General features: G+C 40.7%; 1 protein-coding gene and 1 long non-coding RNA gene across 16 annotated transcripts in view; one reads left to right on the top strand and one right to left on the bottom strand.

The window, feature by feature from the left end:
- ZBTB7C (zinc finger and BTB domain containing 7C) overlaps nucleotides 1–25007 on the top strand; it is a 385914-nt gene that overhangs the window by 140356 nt on the left and 220551 nt on the right. Inside the window, exon 6 of one of the 15 annotated variants that reach the window (NM_001371290.1) lies at nucleotides 19932–20069. The exons of the other annotated variants lie outside the window; for them this stretch is intronic. The gene's annotated coding sequence lies outside the window, so the exon portion shown is untranslated. The remainder of the gene's footprint in view (nucleotides 1–19931; nucleotides 20070–25007) is intronic. 15 annotated transcript variants of the gene reach the window in all.
- ZBTB7C-AS2 (ZBTB7C antisense RNA 2) lies at nucleotides 19393–19929 on the bottom strand. Its single transcript, NR_172886.1, has one exon. It is a non-coding gene; the product is annotated as a ZBTB7C antisense RNA 2 (long non-coding RNA).

The raw sequence follows: 25007 nt of genomic DNA, 5'->3' as shown, positions 1-25007 counted from the left end.
TGCCTAACCACATTAGAGAGGGTGATCTTCTTTACTCAGTCTACTGATTCAAATGTTAATCTCATCTGGAAGCATCCTTACAGACACACATGACACACCCAGAAGTAATATTTTACCAGCTATCTGGGCATCACTCAGTCCAGTCAAGTTGACACATAAAAAAATTAACCATCATGAGGTGCATCATGAGCAATGATATCATTTGCAACTAATGAGAATGTTGTTTGTTTCCAATTATTACACTTTGTTTATATTGTCTTATTGCACTGGATAGGACTTTGAATTCAGTGATGAATAGTTTAGGTGATAGTGGCATAATTTAGGGTCCTGCATTTAATGAAAATACATCTAAATTTTCATTATTACATTTGATGTTTGTCATTAGTTTTTAATAAATATCTTCATCAAATTAAAGTTATTTTCTATTCCTAATTTACCAAGTTATCGTGACTGAGTATGGAATTTTGTCAAATGCTTTTTCTTCAGCATTTACTAAGATGATCATATTTATTTGTTCTTCTTAATCTGATAATGTGACACATTGTATTAACACATTTTCTGAAGAACATTTTACATTTTTAGCATAAATGGAAAATTGTAGTTGATAAATTGTATCAAATATTTATTTGATACATATATTAAATAAATATAATACCTTATAAATATAATTATATAATATATTTAATAGAAATATATAATATAATATATGCTATATATAAAATACTATATAATATAAATATTTATTTGATTTATGTATCATATACATACAGTTTATTGATATATGTATAAAATAAATATGTATTTGATATATGTATGAAATAAGTGACAAATTGTAGTTGATCATGATGTAATTTTGATGCATTGCTAAATTTGATTTGAGACTTTTAAAAATAGGATTTTTGCCTCTATTGTCATAAGTGAGCCTAGTCAACAACTTTCTTTAATTGTACCCTCTGTGTGACGTTATTAAGGTTATACTAGCCTCATGAAATTATTTTGCCAGTTTTCCTTCTTATTCTATTCTCTGAGACAGTTTGCTTTGGGTAAACATTAACCACTCCATAAAGTTTTGGCAAAGCTTGCTTATGAAGCCTTCTTGGTCTAGTGCCTTTGAGGAGGGAGGTGCAGATTTTTATCAGCTTGGTTTTGTTTGTGGTTACTAATGTATGCAGGTTTTTATTTCTTCTTGAGAAAGTTATGATCATTTATACATATATGTAGTTTTAAAGAAAATTGTGTTCTTCTATCTTGGTTCATAGTTTCTCTTTTGATTTAAGAAATATCTACTGTTTTGTCATGAAATTTCCATTTAAATCCTATTGCTATTTTTTTTTGTCCCATATTACTTTTCCTTTTGTTCAATCTTGCTACAGATTTGTGTTCTATAGAACTAGGTTTAGGGCCGGGCGTGCCAGTAATCGCAGCACTTTGGGAGGCCAAGGTGGGCGGATCGTGAGGTCAAGAGATTGAGACCATCCTGGCCGACATGCTGAAACCACACCTCTACTAAAAATATAAAAATTTTTTTTTTTTTTTTTTTGAGACAGAGTCTCACTCTGTGGCCCAGGCTGGAGTGCAGTGGTGCAATCTTGGCTCACTGCAACCTCTGCCTCCTGGGTTCAAATGATTCTCGTGCCTCAGCCTCCCAAGTAGCTGGGATTACAGGTGCGTGCCACCACACCTGGCTAATTTTTTGTATTTTTTAGCGGGGTTTCACCGTGTTAGCCAGGATGGTCTCGATCACCTGACCTCGAGATCCGCCCACCTGGGCCTCCCAAAGTGCTGGGATTACAGGCATAAGCCACTGCGTCCAGCCATAAAAATACAAAAATTAGCTGGGCATGGTGGCACACGCCTTTAGTCCCAGCTACTCGGGAGGCTGAGGCAGAGGTTGCAGTGAGCTGAGATCGCACCACTGCACTCCAGCCTGGCAACAGAGCGAGACTCCATCTCAAAAAAAAAAAAAAAAAAAAAAAGAAAGAGAGAAAAAGAACTAGGTTTAGGTTTTGGTAATTAGTTTCCTCTTTCATTGATGTATACTCTCATATTTAGTATCTTATCTCTTCTACTTTCTTTGTGTTTATTGTTGTTTTGCTAACTCCTTGAGGTGAACATTTAACTGATTTATATTTATTCCTTCTCTCTCTCTCCCTTGTCTGACACTGATAGTGTTACATCAGTTATCTTGTCATTATTATTTGTCTGGAATGCCTTTTTCCATTACTTTATTTTCAACCTCTTTAGATTATTCTGTTTTTTATGTCGTTGTAACAACATTAGCTGGCTTTTCTTCCCTTTTATTTAATCTGAGAATTTGTCATTTACTAGGTTATTTTAATCCTGTTCTGGACCAAGCTAATGAACCTCCAGTGTGGACTAGAGATCTCTAACAAAGAGGCTCAGAAGGAAATCACCAAGGAATAAAACATTGTCAGAACCATTTGCCGATCAAAGTGACTTCTACCTTTGAGCTGTGGGCTTCCTCCCCTCAGCTCCCAGGAGTCTCCTGAAAATCTTTAAATGTGGTCCCAGGTGTCCCTATAATCTCAGGTATTCTTGTAATTTGAGAGGTTAACATACCTTACAGTGAGTGGTGGATTTCACTTTGAGCATGGTGCTTTCATCTGCCTACGCTATATCAGCACATGAAGGAGAGAAGCTCCTGATGCTGAACCTTCTAAACAGGGGCTTTTTCTTCTCCACCACTTCATCCCCAGCTTCCACTAAGGTGCCTGATTATATGTGCTATGGTCTGACTGTTGATGGCCCCCACAAAATCATGTGTTGAAGCCTAACCTCCAAGGTGATAGTATTAGGAGGTGTGGCTTTTGGACGGTGATTAGGTCTTGAGGGTAGAACCCTTAGGAATATGATTAGTGCTCATATATCAAAGGCCTGAGGGAGCCTGGTACCTCCTTCAGTGATGTGAGGACACAGTGAGAAGGCACCATCTTTGAAACAGAGCAGGCCGGGCATGGCGGCTCACATGTGTAATCCCAGCACTTTGGGAGGCTGAGATGGGTGGATCACTTGAGGCCAGGAGTTTGGGAGCAGCCTGGTCAACAAGACAAAACCCTGCCGATACTAAAAATACAAAAAAAGTTAGCTGGGTGTGGTGGCATGTGCCTGTGGTCCCAGCTACTCAGGAGGCTGAGGCATGAGAATCACTTGAACCTGGGAGGCAGAGGTTGCAGTGAGCCAAGAGTGTACCACTGAACTCCAACCTGGGCAGCAGAGCAAGACCCTGTCTCAAAAAAAAAAAAAAAAAAAAGAAACAGAGCAAGCCCTTACTAGACATCAAATCTGCTGGTGGCTTGATCTTGGACTTCCCAGCTACTAGAACTGTGAGCAATAAATTTCAGTTGCTTACAAATTACCCAGTCTAAGATATTTTATTATAGCATCACAATGGACTAGTATAATATGCATATGTATATAGATGCATAGATAGATATATCTACATTTTTATCTACACCCCACATTTACATGTATATGTCTTGACAAGGATGCTTTCCTTGACAAACTTTAGTGAGGCTCCTCCAAGCCCTCTTCTAGCCTAGGCCTTGACCTTGGCCAGCTGAGCCCAGTTTTAGCAAAGAATCCTGCTAAGCCAGTTTATTGAGAATCCCCCCCACCCTTGATATCTGATTACCCTTGATATCTAATCAAGTTCATCATCCCTCACCCTTGATATCTAAGCCCTCAGCTTGCCTTTAGCAAGACTCCTGTTAAGCCAGTTTAGCAAGAATACCCTGCCCTTGATGTCTAATCAAGTTCTTCTTAGTTATTTCCACCCACTGGCCCCCTCACTTTGCTCCTTGGCTATAAATCCCCAGCTGTCTCTGCTGTATTCAAAGTTGAGCTCAGTTCTGCGCTGAAGTCTCTCTCCCCTAATGTGACAGCTTGCATAAAATTTGTCTTGCCATTTTAAACAAGTGTCTCATGCAAAATTTTCTTTCATAGTCTTCTATGTCTGTATAGTGAATAAATTAATAAATGAATGACATGGGGCTGGAGAAGTGCTTGTAATTATGAAAAGCGTGCCGTTGGACTTTGAAACTCAATGCTTAAACAAGTGCATGGCCTGCTGTTCCCAAAGATTTCACCTCAAACTTGTTCTCATTTGCCTATTGAAAGTATCTGCTAAATATTGTGCTCAGTTGCCAAAACGGCTGATATATCTTGAATGTTGGCCTATGGAGAGTACTTGCAATTCACATCTGTGAGACAGAGACATTTAGAAGCTAGAAATCTACAAGGCCTTTTGTCTTAGTCCATTTGGGCTGCTATCACAGAATACCATAAACTGGGTGACTTAACAACAAAAGACATTAGTTTCTTACAGTTCTAGAGGCTGGGAAGTCCAAGATCAAGGTGCCCGTAGATTTGGTGTCTGGTGAGGGGCTGCACGCTGGCTTACAACCAGCTGTTTATTGCTGTGTTCTCACGTGGTGTAAGGGTCAGGGGAGCTCTCCAGGGGTCTCTTTTATGAAAGTTCTAATCCCATTCAGGAGGGCTCCACCCTCATGACCTAATGACCTCCCAAAGGCTCCACCACCTTCTAACACCATCTCCTTGGAAGTTAGGATATCAACATGTGAGTTTGATGGAGACACGTATTGATGTGTCTTTCAACCTGCAAACCAGAACATGATGTGCTCAGAGGAACCTTGGGGAGAAGCCATGGTGAGTGAGAGTGGGAAGGAGAATTTGGGTTTCCTTTATTCCTCTGGCCTTGGTTACCATATTGATAACAATGAAGACCCAGTCGTGAAAAGACTTTGCTGCCAGACTAAAATGCATTTCCCTTTGTGCAAACTCCAGCTGAGAGTGTGGTGCCAGGCCACTCTTTATCCCTGCCGATTAGTTTTAGTTGAATAGAACTGTTGAGGGGGGCCTTGCTGTCAAGCAGTGAACACATGCCTTATCTGATGCTGGATGAATTGTTGCCAGGGATTGGTCAGTGATGACAGTGGGAAGGCCTGGACAAGAAACAGAAGAGAAAACTTCCTGTCATGTAGTTTCTGTGGTGCTGAGGGGGTATCTGATGAGCAATGGAGGAGGCTGGGCTAGAAGAAGATGACCTTGTGCTTTGATCCAACTTGACCTACAGCAGAAGCTAATCATGAGTCAAAGAGGCAGGTACCAGGGTGTTCACTGCAGCCATATTTGCAACAGTGAAAATGGAAACAAACATCAAATGACCTCAGTGTCTATTAGTAGAGGAATTTTTGAGCTATAGAGTGCTATGTAATCCTTTAAAGGAATGGGGTGGAGCCTACTAGGATGTATGTCCCATTGAAGACCCAATGTCCTTTTATTATAACACATATCTTATAATATTCCTTTTGCTAGCCTGAAATGATACTCATAAATACATGTAAACCTACCTACACATAAAACTAAAAAAAAAAAATCCATTCTATATAGCTACCTGTAACATTAAACAGAAATAAAAGGAAAGTAACTTGTAATAAAATTGTATGTATTTCACTCTATCAGTGCTTAGGCAGGAGTAGACTAGGAGACATAATGAAGTGGCCAGAAGCTTGCCCCTGTGCCTGGAGCCACTGATTTGGTACGGATGCTAGGGGGGTTGTGTGGACAGCTCAGTTGCTGAGAGCAGCACTGCTATTGCAATGAGATTTCTTTTACAATGATGAGTAACTCCTGCTAAAATTATGAACAAAACAAAGTCTGTTTCTCTATAGTGCTAGAATGCAGGTCAAGTCTTGGCTGGGTGAGATTGTGGAGGCATTGCAGGTTATTTGGCACCCTCATTTCCAACATCCGGGGTGTGGTATTGCCTGTGTTAAGAACCTCAGGCTTCTGCCACCTGCTTGTTCTATGGATGAAGAGACTGAAGAGACTGGGGTTAAAGGCCTAATAGGGACCAGAAACCAAGACCCTTGCAATAGTCCTTCTCAGTCGCCTCCTGGATGCCTTCCTCCCTGCCGTGGAGTCAGTGGGAAGAGCATGAGTTGTGGGATCGGAGGCCTGGGTGTTGGTGGGTCCTAGCTCCATCGACCACTTAAACCTCTCTAAGCATTAGCTTTATTTCACTTTAAAATTATTTTTGAATTTTTAAAATTTTGAAACAATCTCAAACTTACAGAAAAGGCACAAATGCAGTACAAGGAGCCTTCCCTCACCCCTGAACCATTTGCGAGTAAATTGCCAAACTGACGCTCCATCATCCCAGAATATTATTTAGTGTGCATTTCCTATAAACGAGAACATTCTGCTATAGAACCACACCACAGCCACCAAAACCAGGAAATTCACACTGATTTGCTGCTGCTTCATAATCCTCAGACCCTCATTACGTTGTGCAAGTGTCTCAATGATGTCGTTTTAGCAAAAGGGCCCAGTGCAGAATCACATGGTACAGCAAGTTGACACGCGTCTTTAGTCTCCTGCAGTCTGTGAGCAGTTTCTCAGTCTTTCCCTGTCTCCCATGGACTGAATGCTATTTTGTTGAATACAGGCCAGTTATTTTGTAAGTGCCCCTCATTTAGGGTTTGTCTGATGTTGGCATGATTAGATTCAAGAGATGCCTCTCTTTGACAGGATGCCATGTCCTTCATATTGTGAGTTTTATTTTCAATGTGACCATAAGAAAAACTGGGCTCTTTTATTGCACTCTGCCCACAGGCCAGCACTGGGCTCAGTGCTTTGCCTGCATGATGTCATTTAGTTCTCCTCTGGGGTATGTTCCGTTACAATCCCTGTTCTAGAGATGAGCAAACTGGCTCAGAGAGCATAAATAACTTGCCCAGCTTAAGCGAAAATCCGAGATGAACCAAGACTTGAACTCCCGTGTTCTAGCTTCAGAATTGCTGAACATATTGACTATTGTCAGAGAAAACCATAGCCAGGCACTAAAGAGATAAAGACAGATTTTAATCAGAAACTATTGCAATAAGAGAAAAGAGACTTCAGGATAGAACTAAGCTCAATCCTAAACACAACAAAGACAATTGGGGACTTACAATCAAAGAGCAGAGTTGCAGGAGCAGAGTTAGAAAATTACTAGTGGAGACATCAAGAGTAGAGGGACTCTTGCCAAACAAACCTAACAGGATTCTTGCCAAAGGCAGGCCAGGTAATTAGATATCAAGGATAGGGTTGATTCTTGCTAAAACCAGGCTTTTCAGTTCTATTAGAGACCTCCCTGGCACCACCAGGACTAGAAGGCAGATCCCTCCTCCTACCCCATCTCCACCCATTGTCTCTCATCCAGACAGGTGGTTCTCACTTCACCGTGACCTTCCCAAGTGGCATAACCATTCTGTCTTTTACTTTCTCATCTGCAGCCAAGGACTTGGGACCCCTGTCCTTCCACTTCGCTTGTGGTCGTGGGGGTTGATTGAGACGACAGATGGAAAAGAGCTTTGCAAAGTGCCCTGTGAAGGTAGAAAATTCTACAGGCTGCCCTTTTGGCTGACTCCCAGGCACAGTCCTTTTGGGGGAGTGTCCACCACATGAACATGTAGTTAGTCACCATTCCCCATGTGAGCAGACCATTTGGTGGGAGCTGGCCGGGTTAGGGGGAGGGTGATGTCAAGGAGGCTGTTGCCATGGTGACTTGGTGGTAGCCCTTCCCAGCCTCCCTTAACCGAACCCCTGCAGCCAGGTTTCCAAAGCACTGCTTTCCAGCACATTGGAAAGCTATTTCCACCTCTCTGAAACCTGGATCGTGTCTGACAGCTGAAACCCAGCCTCTCAGAAGACCCCAGAAGGTCCTTCATCAAGCCAAGCCTGGGGAGTGGGGCTCTGGCTTCCCAGAGTAGGCAGGCAAGCCTAGCTGCATCTGTGAGGATGTGCAGTGACACAGAGCCAGCTGTGGGGAGTGACATGCGGCGAGTGCTCCTTTCTTTGTTTCTCTCTGATTTATCCCAGTTGTGCTCATAAAGGTGATTTCATTCTGTGGTCATTTTAAACAATGAGCAGCTCAGTCTTATTCGCCCCATGATTACAGCTCAGCTTCTGACTGTAATTGATGTTAGCCAGGCTGGCTAATGTAATATCTTATGAAGACTGGCTCATTAATTGACTGTAGAGATGTCACCCACGCACTGGAGGTATTAACAGTCACAGGCCTTAGGTACTGCTGACTCAGCAATGGTGGGACTGCAGATTTCTGTTCCTTCTTTTAGGATGAAGTCCCAACAGTGGGATTACTAGGTTATAGAGTACAGATATCTTTATAGGTCTTGATGTGTTTTGCTAAATATTTTACCCAAATATTGCACCAGATTTTAATGTCACTAGCCGTTTACAAATGTTCTCACTTGTCTACAGTCCTACCAGCATTTGATTTATTAACTCCATTTGGGGGGCTAATTTATAACTATAAAATGGTATATTATTGCCTTATATTGCATTTGGGGGGCTTGAGTGGTTTAATTTGCATATCTTTGATTACTAATCTATTACTAACTATTTAATATGTTGGTTTATGATTTGTTTTTCCTCCTATGTATTGTCTGTTTATATCCTTGGCTCCTTTCTGCTGAGTTTTTTTTTTTTTTTTTAGCAGCTTTATTGTCACCAAGGAGCCACAGGGACATGAATAGACACAGTTCCCAGTGTCAAGAGCGAGATAGCTGACCCTCTCAGGACTGCTGTGGAAGGTTGTGGAGAGAGGCCAGGAAGGAGGTCAGGAAGGTCATTTTCGGGACACCAGAATGCTCAGCTGCATGCATTCATTAAGTACATTTTTTAAGGTCCTCTATTCCTTTGAGAAAAAGAAGAGACAGTTCTGTTTTCTCTAATCCTTAACTCTGATGTCTGGACGAGTGGCTGCAGAGTGGATGCAGAGATCAGCACAGTGTGATGCTGCCCTCAGGTTGCTGATGATTGCAAGGAGGCTGCACCAGCATCTCCCTGCCCACACGAGTTGCTCGTGCTGGTGCCACGTGAGTGGTGCTACTTGCAAGTGTACTGGGGGCCCAGAGGACAGAAAGATCCACGTGGGCTGAGGCAGTCAGAGTGTGGGGGATGGTCCTGAAGAGCAGGTAGATTTAGCCAGAAGGAGAGACCTGAAAGCCTTGCTAGGTGGGGGAAAGTGTCCACCAAGCACTGGGACAGGAACTTTTATGGTGTTTGTGGGACAATGAGGAGTTGAATCAGGCTGGAGCACATGGTTCCCATGGGAGCTGGGGCCACTCTAGGCCAGAGAGGAACAGTGGCTCATGTTATGAGCAACCTGGGCCAGGCCAGGTGCAGGTTACCCTGAGTGGGCACAGAAGGCATTCTGGTGGTAGGAGCATGAGAAGACAGAGTGGAAACAAGGTGGACAGCTCTGCAGTGAGGCCCAGCCAGTGCTCTTGGCTCGCAGATTCTGCATCCAGTGATACTGGCTGCTGGGCACTGTCAGGCTCTATAACTGGTCTGGGGCATGCTCTGTAGGCTGGTCTTGGTGGAGCCTGAAACTGCCCCATCTGGCCACATAGCCCTAAAGACAAAACCTAGCAACATGGAGTGACACGGACATGCAGTCTTCTCGAACTTAAATTGGGTTAGTGGTTGTGTGTTAATGTGTTCCTGTCTGTTGGGTATGTCACACAGGAAAGAAAGGCTGGGTAACATTTCCCTGTATGCTGATGATTTCCTTATTTATAAAGTAAGTCTGTAGGGCTTACTCCAAGATGAGACCACTCTACACTGGTGCTGTTTTCTGAGCATTTCCACATCATCTATATGAGCCCTGGTTTCATATACTGCCTGGTGTTTGTCTTAGAGAGTTTCTTGTGGGTAGGCCTCATCTCCTTAGTGAGACAGCAAGCTCTCTGAGGATAGGGAAGTAGCAGACTTCTTCCCAGAATCCCAGCAGGGCAGGACCACAGGGTGTGGACTCTGTAAGTGGTCAAGATACCCCTGTTGCTTGGTTATGGGCCACCTTCCAAGTACTTCATCCTTCAACTTCACTGAACTCTCCTGAGGCTGGAAGCATGAAGTGCTAGGGTAGACCATGAGCCAGGGAGCTTGGGTTGACATCCAGCTCTGCCGTCCTCTCACTGTGCAGCCTTGAGCCGGTCATTTTACTCTCCTGTGCCTCAGTTTCCCCAGCTGTACAATGAGACAGTCATTGAAAATAGATGTAAGGATATTTCAGATTCTTTTCCATGTTCATGCTTTCTTCACATACTCCTGTGACTTTCTAGGGATGTGAATCCCTAGCCCTGTGACTAGATATACTGGAAGGTCCCAGAGGATAGGGAAGAGGACCTTTGTCCCCTCTGCACCTTCCTTCTGGCCCTTCTGCTCTGCCTGCACCCACAGATGCTAAGATGGCTCCAGTTCAAGGTATTCTGTACAAGGAAGGCCAAGGCCAGACCTGCCTCTTCCATTTGGTGCAGAAAATAGATCTTAATGATGATGTGGAAGATTCAGAGTGCTCACATCCCCAAAATGCCTTTCCATGACCACCATGTCCTGGTTAATGGGGTATTTGGGGAGCCCACAGAGCCTGAGCTGATGCCACCTGGCACTTGCTTCGTAAGAAGCAGCGACAGTGAGAGCTTAGGGTCTATTTGGGAGCCTAGTGTCCATGCTGTGAAGATGCTCTGTGATGCATGGAGTGACTCAGAGGCGAGGATTCCAGGCAGAGCTGTTGGGTGGGCATCTAGGGTGGGAATCAGGGGTATCCTTCAGATGAACTCTTATTTTGCACAACATCATCCTATGAGAACAACTCTCTCTGGAGCCAGTGACTTAGTGCAGTCTTTCCCACATAGTTCCGGCAGCGCCAAGCCATTATTTTGCACCACAGCAATAATCATCACCATGATAATAACAGAAGTCCATTTGTTCAGTCTCTTAACTTGGAAATAAATAAGACAGCTGATCCAGTGTGAGCTCCAGCTCTAGTCTATCTGCCCCATCATCACTTGATAACGATCATGGAGCCCCTGTCTGCACACGGTGCCCTGCCCAGCACTCGAGATATTAAATCCACCTAGAAGCAGGGTATAATAATGCTGACCCTGCAGGGATGTTCCAAGAATTAATTCCTGTGGGCTCTCCATTCCGCTTTTCTCCAACACATTCAATCTTAGGAACCCAAGAGTTGGTGACGTTTATCCGATGAATTAAAACATTCCGCTGTTGCCCCTGGAACTCTTCATTACAATCCTGAGTCAATCAATGGCAGAGAGGAATACTATTTATTAGTTAAGTGGCTGCTATTGAATTCTTAATTTAAGTGGGTTTTAATTCAGTGTTTTCCTTGCTGCCCTTCATTTTGCCCTTGCTCATACAAATTTGCCCGTTAAAGCCTGGTGTGGGGCCATGCTGATGCCTTTTATCTTGATTTTGTTGTGTTTTATTTTCTGGAGAATGGTTTTCAGTGGAGGAGAAGGCAAGATGCTCAGAGTAGACAGGGAGGCCAGATCACCAGGCCTAGGGCAGGCTTTGCTGCCAGGAGCAAGGACGTCAAAATGGCTTTTCAGATAAGGTCTTATGGCGAACATGGCCTTCACTGGTGTCTTGTGCTTTGGTTTTGCCAACTCGAAAACTTTACTACAGTTCTCGCACCAGATATGAGTCAGAGCTAGTAGGTGGGATGCATAGACCATCTCCCTGACCGGAAGGGAGCTTTTGAGTGGTGGCTGTTGCAGTCTGCCTTGATCTGCTGCAACTCCAGGAGGTTACCCAGGCTGATCACAGCCACTCCTTACTGTAGCGCATGTTGTTTTCAACAGCTTTATTGGGATATAACTGAATTACAGTAAATTGCACATGGTTAAAGTGGACAATTTGGTAAGTTTAGACTTATGCATACATCTATGACATCATCACCACATCAAAATAATAGACATATCCTTCATCCCAAAAGTTTCCTGTGTCCCCTTGTGATCATATCCTCCCACTCCTAGTGCCCAGGGGGAAGGGAATGCTCGGTGACAGATCTTCTTTCTGTCATTACAGATTATTTACATTTTCTAGAATTTTATATAAATAGGCTCACACAGCATGTAATCTTTTTATGCAGTTTCTCTCACTCAGCATAGTTATTTTGAGATTAATACAAGTTGTTGCATGTATCAGTAGTTCATTCATTTTTATTGCTGAGCAGTATTCCATGGTTGTTTATCCATTTGCCTGTTGATAGACATTTGGGCTGTTTCCAGTTTTGGGCTATTACAAATAAAGTTTCTATGAACATTCATGTATGAGTCTGTGTGGATATGTTTTCATTTCTCTTGGATACAAACCTAGGAAGGGAATGATTGGACTGTGTGGTAGTATATCTTTAACTTGTTAAGAAACTGCCAAACTACTTACCAAAATAGTTGTGCCATTTTCCATTCCTATCAGTGATATAGGAGAGTTCTAGTTGGTCTGTATTGTCCTCGACATTTCGTATTTGCAGTCTTCTTATTTTCACTATTCTAATTGTTGTGGAGGGATATATCATTGTGGTTTTGATTTTCATGTCCCTTATAACTAATGACACAGAACATTTTTCATGGGCTTACTTGCCATTCATATTTTTTTTGGTAAAGTTCTGTTCAAATATTTTGCCCATTTGAGGGACAGTTGTTTGATTTCTTATTGTTGAGCTTTGGGAGTTATATACTCCAGATATGTGGGTTGCATATTTCTCACCTTCTGCAGTTTATCTTTTCATTCTCTTCATGGTATCTTACAAGGACCAAAGTTCTAAATTTTTATGAAGTCCAATTTTTCAGTTTTTTTCTTTTATGTATAGTGCTTTTTGTGTCATATCTAAGACATTATTGCCTAACTGAAGGTCAGAAAGATTTTTCTCTTGTTTTTGTCCAAAAATTCTATAGTTTTAGGTTTTACATTAAGGACAGTGGTCCCTTTTGAGTTTATTTTGTGTATGGTAGAAGGTATATATTTAGCTTTTTTGCAAAAGAATATCTCATTGTTTCATCAAGATTTGTTGAAAAGACTATCCTTTTCCCATTGAATTGCTTTTACACTCTTGTCAAAAATCATTTGTTTGTGGTTGGGTGCAGTGGCTCACGCCTATAATCCCAGTACTTTGAGAGGCTGAGGCAAGCAGATTATTTGTGCTCAGTAGTTCAAAGCCAGCCTGGGCAACATGGTGAAACCCTGTCTCTACTAAAAATACAAAAATTAGCCGGGTGTGGTGGCATGAGCTTGTAGTCCCAGCTACTTGGGAGGCTGAGGTCTGAGAATCGCTTAAACCTGGGAGGTGGAGGTTGCAGTGAGCTGAGATCGCACCACTGCACTCCACCCTGGGCAACAGAGCAAGACTCAGTGTCAAACAAAAAAAGGCAGGGCGCAGTGGCTCACACCTGTAATCCCAGCACTTTGGGAGGCTGAGGCAGGCTGATAACCTGAGGTCAGGAGTTCCAGACCAGCCTGGCCAAAATAGCAAAACCCGTCTCTACTAAAAATACAAAATTAGTGGAGCGTGGTGGTGTGCGCCTGTAATCCCAGTTACTCAGGAGGCTGAGGCAGGGAGAATTGTTTGAACCTGGGAGATGGAGGTTGCAGTGAGCCAAGATCATGCCATTGCACTCTAGCCTGGGTGACAGAGCGGGACTCCATCTCAAAGAAAAAAAAATATGCTGGGATTTTGATTGGGATTGCATTGAATCTACAGATCAATTTGGGGGATAATTGACATATCAATAATCTTCCAACCTATGAACATGGTGTATTTAGATCTTTAATTTTCTGGCACTATTTATAGTTCTTAAAACAGATTTTGCACATCTATTGTTGTATTTATTACTGAGCATTTTATATATTTTGGTGTTACTGTCAGTAGCTTTTCTTATTTCAATTTCCTATTGTTGCTAGTATGTAGGAATACAATTAATATTTATACATTGATCTTATATATCACAAACGTGGTACAACTCTCTTACTAGTTCTAGTAGCTTTTTGGGGATTTCATTGTATTTTGTACATAGATAATCATGGTGTCTGTGAATAAAAGTAGTCTTACTTCTGCTCCAATCTGGGTGCTTTTTACTTCTTTTCTGATTGCACTGGCTAGAACATTCAGGACAATGTTGAATAGGAGTAGTTAGAGTGGATAGCCTTGACTTTTTTTCTGATCTTAGAAGAAAAACATTCAGTTGTTCATCATTAAATATGATGTTAGTTATAGGTTTGTTTGTACATGTTAGTAGGTTGAAGAAGTTTCTTTCTATTCCAAGCGTATTTTTGTTTTCTGTTTTTTTCCTAGAGATGGGGTCTTGATCTGTCACTCAGGCTGGAGTGCAGTGGTGCAATCATAGCTCACTGGAGCCTTGAACTCCTGGGCTCAGGTGATCCTCCTGCCTCAGCCTCTTAAGTGGGTGGGATTATAGGTGCAAGCTACCATGCCCAGCTGATATTTATTGATAGGTTTTTTTCTTAATCAGAAATGGATGTTTGATTTTATCAAATGCTTTTTCTGCATCTATTTGCATGATCCTAGTTTTTTTTTTTTCAGCTTGTTAATACAGCGCCTTACACTGATTTTCAAATGTTAAACCAACCTTTCAGTCCTGAGATAAATACCACTTAGTCCTGATATTTTATCCTTTTAAAATATTGTCAAATTCTATTTGCTGAAATTTCATTTACAATTTCTGTATCTTGTTCATGAAGGGTATTAGTCTGTAGTTTTCTTTTCTTGTAATGTTTTGTCTGGTTTTGGTATCAGGGTAATGCTCCCTCATGGAATGGGTTGGGAAATATTCCCTTCCCTTCAGTTTTCTGGAAGAGCTCATGTAGAATTAGTATAATTTCTTCTTTAAATAGTAGAATTTACCAGTGAAGCCAGCTGAGTCTAAAATTTTCTTTATGGGAAAGTTTTTAAGTACACATTTAATTACCTTAATAGATATATGGCTTTAAAGGGTATCTCTTTATTGTTTAGTTTTTGGTTCAAGTTTTTCAAAGCTCTGTTATTGGGTATATAGTAGTTTCCAATTGTTATGTCCTCCTCCTGATGAATTGATCCTTTTATCATTATGGAATTTTCTCTTTATTCCTGGTAATATTTTTGCTCTGAAATCTACTTTGTCTGACACTAATATAACTAGTCTAGCTTTCTTTTCATTAGTATTAGCTTGGTATATATTTTTGATCCTTTTTACTTTCATCTTTTTTTATATTTAAAGTGGGTTTCAGTTTATAGTTGGGTCTTCCTTTATATCCAATCTAACAGTCTCTGCCTTTTAATTATAATGTTTAGATCACTTATGTTTAATGTGATTATTGATGTTTAGGTTTAGAGTTATCATCTTTCTATTTGTTTTCTATTCATCTCACCTCTTATTTGTTCAATTTTTCCTCTTTTTATGCCTTCCTTTGGACTGAATATTTTTGTGATTCCCTTTTATCTCCTTTGTTAACTACCTGTATTTCCTATATTTGTATTACCTGTATTACCTCAGGTTGCTCTCAGGTTTATAATATATATCTGTAATGTCAAAGTCTACTTTCAAATGATATTATACCACTTTGTGAATAGTATACAAACCTTACAATAGTACATTTTCATTTCTTTCCTTTTGACCTTAATGATAATATCGTCATACATTTTACTTTTACATATGTTATAAACCCCATATTATATTATTATTTTTGTATAATTATCTTTTAAAATACAGATATAAATGCACAAAACCATTTCTAAAGCTATCATTGCTTTGTCTAGATCCATATTTCCACCTGGCTTCATTTTCATTGTGCTTGAAGAATGTCCTTTAACACTTCTTATAATATGGGCCTTCTATTTTTTTTTTTTTTTTGAGCTTTTGTATGTATGAAAAAGTCTTTATTTTACCTTTGCTTTAGAAAGGCATTTTCACCATGTAGAAAATTCCAGGTTGATAATTTTTTCTTTCAGTATTTTAAAGGTATTTCTCCACTGTCTTTTTGCCCACATTATTTTGTATGAGAAATCTGCTGTAATCCCTATACTTTTTTCTGCATGTAATGTGTCTTCCCCTCCACTCACCCTGGTTGCTTTTAAGATTTTGTCTTTATTATTGGTTTTGAACAATTTGATTATGACATGTCTTGGTATACCTTCTTCATATTTCTTATGTTTCAGGTTTCTTGAGCTTCTTGGAACTGTGGGTTTATAGTTTTTTTTAAAAATAAAGTTTAGTAATTTTTTGGCTATTATCTTTTCAAATACTTTATTCCTGTCCTCCAACTCTCTCCTTTCCTCTGGAGACTTTAATTACACATAGAACAAGCTGCTTGAAGTTGTCCCCACAGTGCACTTTTGCTCTGTACACTTTTACAATTCTTTTTTCTCTATGTGTTTCTTTTTGGATAACCTCTCTTGCTATGTATTCAAATTCCTTATTCTTTTTTGGAAAATAGGGGAGGGTGGAGGGAACAAAATCTTATCTGCTGTTATTGGATTCTATCCAGTGTATTTTTCATCTGAAAAAGACAAAATTACAACACATCTGATTTAAAGATGTTAATTGGCTTTTATTTTCAATCTAGAATTGGGCAACACTTCATTCTACAAAATGGAATGAGTGTTCTAATGAGCTGAGCTGGGGAGGTTGGCTTTATAGACAGAAGGGCCCAGGAAAGAGAACCAAATAACAAAAGTAGATTGGTCATTTCAAAGTTACTTTTCTTGTAAAGATTAAAGCAGATAGGACTTTCTTATCATGCTGGCTAAAACTTCCCTATTTAGAGATTTGACTATTATATCTCTCTTTCTCTCTTAATTTCTTGGAAGGTCAGATAAACAACTTAGTTTCAGCTTGGTGGTGTGGAACTTCAGTGTGAGTTACACTCCATTTTGGTTTGGTCTGTTGGGCCTACTGCAGGAGCTCAGTCCAAACCAATGGCCTCTTAGAAATTTTATTTAACACATTCTAAATATTGTAGTTTTCATCTCTAGAAGTTTTAGTCTTTTTATATCTTACTTTCTATATCTTAACTTTTTAAACATATGGAATACAGTTATAATACCTTTTTCATTGTCTTTCTCTGCTAATTGTAAGTTCTGGGTCAGTTTGGATTGATTGGCTTTTTCTCCTTAATATGGGCCATATTTTCCAGCTCCTTTGCATATCTGGTAATTTTGTATTGGATGTCAGACATTGTGAATTTTATCCTGTGTGCTGGACATTTTTGTATTCCTTTAAATTTTCTTGAGCTTTATTAAAGGGCTCAGTTAAGATATTTGAAAAAGTTTGACCCTGTTGGACCTTGCTTATAAGATTTGTTCGGTGGGACTAGATTAATGTGTAGTCTAGGATAGTATTAAGATCTTTCTTAGTATTTTAGCCCTGTGAATTGTGAGGTTTTCAAGTCTGGCCAGTGGGAGCAGCATTATTCCTGATCCATGTGAGCATCATGAACAAACCATAATAGGTTCATTGCCTGATGTGCATGGCAAGTCAGTACACTGAGATACTGGATTGCAGCAGGGAAAGGTTTAATCATAGGGCTACTGAATGAGGAGATGGGAGGAAACCTCAAATCTACCTCCCCAAGAAGTTTAGGACTGGGGTTTTTAAGGGCTTTGGAATGGGCTGAAGTGTGGAGATTGTTGATTGGTCAAAGAATGCAGGGTAAAGTGGAAGCTGTATTGTTGTCTGGGGTAAATACATGGGGTTCGTCGTCTTGTGTCAAGAAGATTAATGACATGGACACACACACATGGAGTGGGGTAAGGAGCGGAAAGTTTAATAGGCAGAAGAAACGAGAGAGGAGGATAGAGGTGTCCGAAAAAGGGAAAAGCGGCGGACTGCAGCAGATTTTATAGGCAGGCTTGAGGAGGCAGAGCCTGATTTACATAGGGCCCACAGATTGGTTCAACCATGTGTGATGTTTACATAGCAGCGGGGAAAGGAGAAGGCTGATCACCCCACCCTAATTTTATTATGCAAATGGGCTTTCCACTTGGCCAGGGCCATCTTGTCTGCTCCTTACTGTACACGTGGCTGGCAAAGAGAGAAGGGAAGATGGAACCGCCATTTTGAACTTGCCTATTCCTAGGTAGTATTTTGCTGCCGGCATTCACCCATGTAAGCTTCCAGCTTTCTTGTCTATGTCTGCAGCTTGATTTTACAGGCTGCTCTTTATTAGAACATGGTTTGGGGGCTGCTTTTCGTTAAAAAGGAAAACCTTACCAACAACTCCCATACCCTCACTATCTGCATAAGTAATTTCTTCTTAACTCCTATATCAGAGTCATGGGACAAGGTGATGAAGAAACTGTATTCTCATGAGATTCACTTCTTCTATGGGGGTCTTCAGGCTGGTTGGTATTAGCTGTTTTGCTGGAATTTAGGATCTAAAAAACAAGCAATTTTTGAGATCCTACCTATTGGAACAATGGGGATGCATGTGGTCAGTATCTAGTGCTACTGTGACTTTCAGTTACAAGGAAGTAGGTCAAAGCACAGCCTGACTAATGCTTAATTATAACTGTATTTCTATCCAGAATTCTTGTTAACCCTTTGAGGGTTACTTCAGTACTATTTCTTTTACCCCTTTTTGGGTGGTTCTTTTCCTGGCTTTGGGTATTTTCCTGACATGTTTGCACTAATCGGTACTCTGATGATTACTTGAGGGGAGCCCTCTACAGATCTCTGAGGTTCTTTCTCTCTCTTCTCTCTGGTGCTCTGTCCTATGAACTTTAACTGCCTTGATCTCCCTGGATGCTCAGCTCTGTCTCTTCTACTCAGGAAGAATGCTAGTGCCTCAGTTCTCCCTTCCTGCTCTATGGCCTGGACACTCTCTCAAGGCTACAGTTTGGGCAATTGTAGGGCTCACATTAGTTTTTCTCATCTCTCAAGCACCACTGTCTTTCAGTGCCTCATGTCTGGTGTCTTGAAAACTGTTGTTTCACCTATATTGTCTAGTATTTTAATTTTTCCAGGTGGGAGGGTAAATCCAGTCCTTGTTTCTCTCTACCTTGGCTGAAAGCTGCAGTCTGCCCTGGATCTTTATTTTTTTAAGTATTTTTAAAGGTATTTATTTTACCTTGACTAGATCCCTGGCACAGGAGGGATTTTTTTTCTTTTTCTCTTTTTCTCTTTTTTTCAACCCCTATTCCACCATAACCCCATCAGTTTCAGAGCCCTGGAAGGCTCTGCCTATTCACCCACACAAATCTGAGTGAATCCTATCCATCCTTAAAGGGCCAGCTCAGGGCACTGCTCCAGCAGCCTTTGCACTGCTGTTAAGTCCAAGCACATCTCTTTCCCCTCCTCTCTATTCTATAGGTCTATACAATCTTTTCAATATTGACTTTGTATATGTATGTCTTCCTCTAAACTGGATGGATCTTTAAGGAAAACACTGGGATTCATCATCTCCCTACATATCACCTTAAGAGGCAGTCACCCCAAATCTCTACATTCATCATAGAAACAGAAATTCCACTAATAAATGTCAGGGACTGCCTCCTTAACCTTGGTGCTCTATTTCCCTCCCACTTTCAGCATTCTGGCTTATTCCATGGGTGGAGGAGGAAGCCAGGTTGGCTTGGTGGGAGGGGAATGGCATCAGTGTGAGGTCACGCCACATCATCCAGAATGACAGCTCCACACCATTGTGACACATTGCAGGATTGAGCGATGCAGTTGGAGGAAAGAGAGGGAGACCCATGTCACTTAGACTACAAACAAAAGGGGGGCAGGTGCAAATGCAAAGCAGGGACCTGACGGGAAGAGGCAGGTACACCTGAGCACACACCAGCAGTGCCTGCAGAAAGTGAAGGCAGGGAGAGAGGAGCCATGCCCCATGAGGGATTTTTTTATTATTTAAGAACGAGGAAACTGAGGCCCAGAGAGAGGAAGTAACTTTTCCAATCACAAAAAAAGAGTCAGTGGCAAGAGGGAGAACTAAGATATCTTTAGGCCCAAATGTACTTGCCATTGTGTTATATTCTCTGTACAAGTTGTCCCAACTCACAATACCTTCACAATGCACTATTCTCTCCATAGTGCTATGAAGAAATGGAAGGTCAGGAAGGTGGATAAACTTTCCCAAAACCACACAGCTAAAAACATGTTTCAACCCCTGGGTTGAGTCCAAAGCCAGTAGTGCTTTGTAACGCAGTCTCCCAGTTCTTCTGGCTAATAGTAAGTGCTGCTTTTTTCAATTCTTTTTAAAAGTTTATTTGTTCTTTCATTAATTTATTCTCTTAACAAACATTTATTGATTACCTTTTCTATATCAGTCACAATATTAAGTGCTAGATAAAAATATGGGTAAAAACAAATCAAGTGGTGTCATTGTCTGGGGTAAATACCCAAGATTCATCTCACACCAGAGAAATTGAGAGCGTGGACACACAAGAAGTGAGTTTAAGAGCAGAGGTTTAATAGGCAAAAGAAAGAGAAAAGAGAATAGCTCTCTCTCCTGCAGAGAGAGAGAGAGGGACACCTGAATGGGTCTCCCAGTTCCATGGTGAAATGCACAGGGTTTTATAGGTGAGCTTGAGGAGGTGGTGTCTGATTCACATAGGGCCGCAGAGATTGGTCAGAGCAGGTGTGACGTTTGCATAGTCCACGAAGAAGCTGGCCATCCCGCCCTGATCTTTTAGTATGCAGATTGGGTTCTCTACCTGGCCAGTGCCACATTGTCTGATCCTTACTGTACACATGGTTGACAAAGAAAAGGGAAGATGGAGCCGCCATGTTGAACATGCCTAGCCCCAAGTAGTCTTTTCCTATTGGCACAGCTGCTGGCATTCACCTGTGCAAGATTCTAGCTTGCTTTTTCAGGCTGCAGCTTGATTTTCTGGGCTGCTTTTTGTTGGAAATGATTTGAGGGCTGCTTTTTGTTAAAAGGAAATCCTTACTGAAGACTCTTTTACCCTCACTATCTGCCTAAATCATTTCTTTTTAGATCCTGCATCACAAGTGTGGTCCTTACTTCCCAGGGTCCCTCCCCTAGTATGAATGTTAGAACTAAGAATACAAATAAATGCTATCAACTATTTTATATGCTATAATAGACTTGTTTGTTTTGTTCAAACATTTTCTTTTATATTCTTTATTTCTTTATTTCTGGGGGGAGACAGGTTCTTGCTCTGTCACCGAGGCTGGAATGCAGTGGTGTAATCATGGCTCAATGCAGCCACAACCTCCTCAGCTCAAGTGATTGTCCTGCCCCATTCTCCTGAGTAGCCGGGACTACACAACCACGCCCAGCTAATTTATTTTTATTTTTATTTTTAGTAGAAACAAGGTCTTGCTATGTTGCTTAGGCTGGTCTTGAACTCCTGGGCTCAAATGATCCTCCCAACTCAGCCTCCCAAAGTGCTGGGATTATAGGCATGAGAGGTTATGCCTGGTCAGATATTTTACTTTTAAACACATGCCGAAGTTTAAGTTCAAGCAAATCACAAGAAAAGAAGCATTAGTGGGTTAATTCAGAGATTGTCTCCTATAGAAAAATTTTATAGAAAAACAGGATGATTAAGTAATCACTGTTAGACTGGATATAAAAAAAAAAAAAAGATTGTTTCAAGATCATTAGATCCTGACTGACAGTCAGCTGAGTGGGTGGGTATCTGGCTTCCCAGAAGAGGTCTTAATCTCATTAAAGTTTGTCAGAAAATTGCTTAAGCATTTTATCAATGCTAATTTCTTCCCAGAAAGAGCTTGGAAATTACATCATGCAAAAAGGTTCTGTCCCATTCCAAGTTTGGGACTGGGTTTTTTTATTAAGTATGGGCACATACCACAGTGGAGCAAAAGAGAGATCAGGTCAATTCCACCACAAGGACAACAGTTAGTGATAACTAGCATCATCTGAGTGTTATATGGCAGGCAGTGTTCCCTTCACTTGACACATATTAACTCATTAATGCTCACATAGTGCTGTGAGGTAGGGGCTTTTCTTATCCCCTTTTCTACAACGGAGGAAAGTGAGGCGCAGAGAGTTTAACTAACTTGTTCAAGGTCTCCCAGCTAGGATCTAGCAGAAAGATCAGGAAGGTATCACAAGGAAGGTGGGTGAATCTGTTCCCCAAGGGGAAGATGGGAAAGAAAATATTCTGGGAAGACTGGACCCCCAATCCCATTCTATGCTATGAAGCTGTGCTTGTTTTCAAAGATGTTGGGGGTTCTGGATCAGTGGAACCACTTGACCCCTGCGCATGTCACTGGGGAAATCCATTTGGGCTTGTGCCTGGGTTTTAGAGGGTGGCTGAGTCAAGTCCCAGCTGTGTTTCTAGACCATGTGTTCTGGTTTGGGCAAAGTGGAGACTCCCCTCCACCTAACAGCTTTCAGACACATAAGCAAAACTTCCGGCCAAGGCAAAAACACATTAGCTCTGCCGGCCATGGACAGGTGGCTGGAGTGGTTTCCAGGGTCATTTTCGCTCTAGCCTTAGTGTTCCATCTTATTTTGTTTGCCTCCTCCTTTGTTCGACATATTTCTGCATTGCCTTTAAACTCCACAGCAGAGGGAGTGTTAAAAGTGGTGGTAAGAAGAGTCTTGCTATTGTAGTGTAAATAAAGTAAAGATGATAAAGTTTTACAGGGCTATGTACAAATTGATAGTTGGTGCAGTATTACTTCAGGCACAGGAAGAGCCTTTCAGAATCTAACCTGTTAGAAATTACAAGAGCTTCTGTGTGAAAATTTAAAGAGAACATTTAAAAAATAATATTTCTTATGTCACCTATAAAATTCTACTAACCCCAAACCAACTATTATATTATTTTTACTTATTATCTCTTCTAAATGTAATACATGCTGGGAGTGTTGTCTGTGGTATATGCCTACTATTTTGTATTCTGCCTGTTTTCAATGACCAGTGGATCATAAACATTTTTCATGTTTCTGCATAATTACCATTTTAATGGCCACGTAATATTCCATTGTACAGAGGTGCTGTAATTTATTAAACCATTCCCCTTAATGTTGGCCATTTATGGTTTTCAGTTTGGGGCTTTTATAGATAACACTACAGTGAGCATCTTCTTGCAAATAGCTTTTTGCTGCTATTGAATTTCCATAGGAATAATTCCTAATAGAGGCATTACTAGTAAAGGACACAGACATGTATATGGCTCTTTCTCTATATTGCTGAATTGCTTTGCAAAAATATTATTTAATACAGTGCCATCACTCTGGAATGAATCTACTAGCTTTTTCTCCACTTCAATAGCAGTTAGCAAAAACTGTTTTTCTAATTTGACAGATAAAACAGTATTTCAACTTGCTTTAATTTACATTCCTTTGTTTACTAGTGAAGATTACTATTTCTCCATGTATTTGTTTATATTGTATATAATTTTCTGTGAATTATCTGTTTGTTATGGTCTTGGTGTTTTTATAAATTTAAATGCACTCTTTGTAGGTGATAACTATTAATCATTTTTGTTTTGTTTATTCAAATACTTTGTTGTCCTTTTTAATTTTTATTTTTATTACAGAAAAGCTTTATATTATGTATGGAAATTGTCAATCTCAATCTGTGAGTACTTCTTATTTTTCTGAAGAAGAGATAGTAATTCTTTTACCTATCTCTTGTGTGTTTTATATGCCTTTCATTTAATCATTTATTCAACATCGAGTTACCAGGTGCCTTTTGTGGGCCGGATATTCTTCTAGGTTCTGAGAATCTAAAATTTTCATCTTCTTGGAGATTACATTTTAGCGAGAAGAGAGACAATAAGCAAAAACATAACTAATAAGCATGGCAGCAATAAATCTTATAAAGAAAAAAATAAAGCATAGTCAGAGGACAAACAATGACCAGGGAAAGATTTAGTGTTCAGGACAGGCCACTGACAAAGTGACATTTGCAATAGGGAAGACAGGGAGGGCCAGTATCAAAAGGTATCATTCAAGCAGACCTGGATGAGATGACAGAGGGAACAGAAAGTGCAAAGGCCCTGAGATGGGAACATATGTGGCATCCTGAGTGTATTAGTTTGTTCTCTCACTGCTATAAAGAACTGTCTGAGACTGGGTAATTTGTAGAGAAGAGAGGTTTAATTGACTCACAGTTTGCATGGCTGGGGAGGCCTCAGGAAAATTACAATCATGGTGGAAGGCACCTGTATTAGTCTGTCCTCACGCTGCAAATAAAGACATACCTGAGACTGGGTAATTTATAAAGGAAAGAGGTTTAGTGGACACAGTTCCACATGGCTGGGGAGGTCTCAGAATCATGGCAGAAGGTAAAGGAGGAGCAAAGTCAACGTCTTACATGGTGGCAGGCAAGAGAACTTGTGCAGGGGAACTCCTATTTATAAAACCATTAGATTTTGTGAGACTTATTCACTACCACAAGAACAGTACGAGGGAACCACCCCCATGATTCAATTATCTCCACCTGGCCCCGCCGTTGACACATGGAGATTGTTACAATTCAAGGTGAGATTTGGGTGAGGACACAGCCAAAACATATCAGCACCTCTTCGCAGGGGGGTGGCAGGTGAGAGAATGAATGCAGGAGGAACTATCAAACACTTGTAAAACCAGCAGACCTCAGATCTCGTGAGAACTCACTGTCATGAGAACAACATGGGGGAAACTACCCCCGTGATCCAATTACCTCAGCCTGGTCTCTCCCTTGACATGTGGGGATTATGGGGATTACATTCAAGATGAGATTTGGGTGGGGACACAAAGCCTAAGCATATCACTGAGAAACAGGGAAAGCCATGTGTTTGGAGTGAAGCAGAAGAGGTGGAGAATTGGACAAAACAAGGTTGTTACCAGATGGTATGGGGCCAAGGACACTGGATTTAATCTGAGGGAGATGGGAAGCCACAAAGTTGAGAGGGCATGAAACAGACATCTGATTTACAGTTTAACAGGATCACTGGATATTTTTATATTTGAATCATTTTGGCTGATTTAACTCTCCAGGTATGTAATCACATCATATACAGGAGATATTTTTGTCTCTTCTTTTTCAGTATTTATTTCCATTGGGGTGTCTTTATCTTTTCTGTCGTTGTTTTTAAAAACTTTCCAGACAATGTTAAATAATAATATTTTTATGAATGATTTCAATGACAATGATAATAGTAGGCATCTTTATATATTCTGAAT

This window comes from Homo sapiens, chromosome 18 (assembly GCF_000001405.40).
Source record: "Homo sapiens chromosome 18, GRCh38.p14 Primary Assembly".
Taxonomy (NCBI): Eukaryota; Metazoa; Chordata; class Mammalia; order Primates; family Hominidae; genus Homo; species Homo sapiens.
Note: the sequence above shows the minus strand (reverse complement) of the source record. Positions and strands in the feature narration are given on the sequence as shown.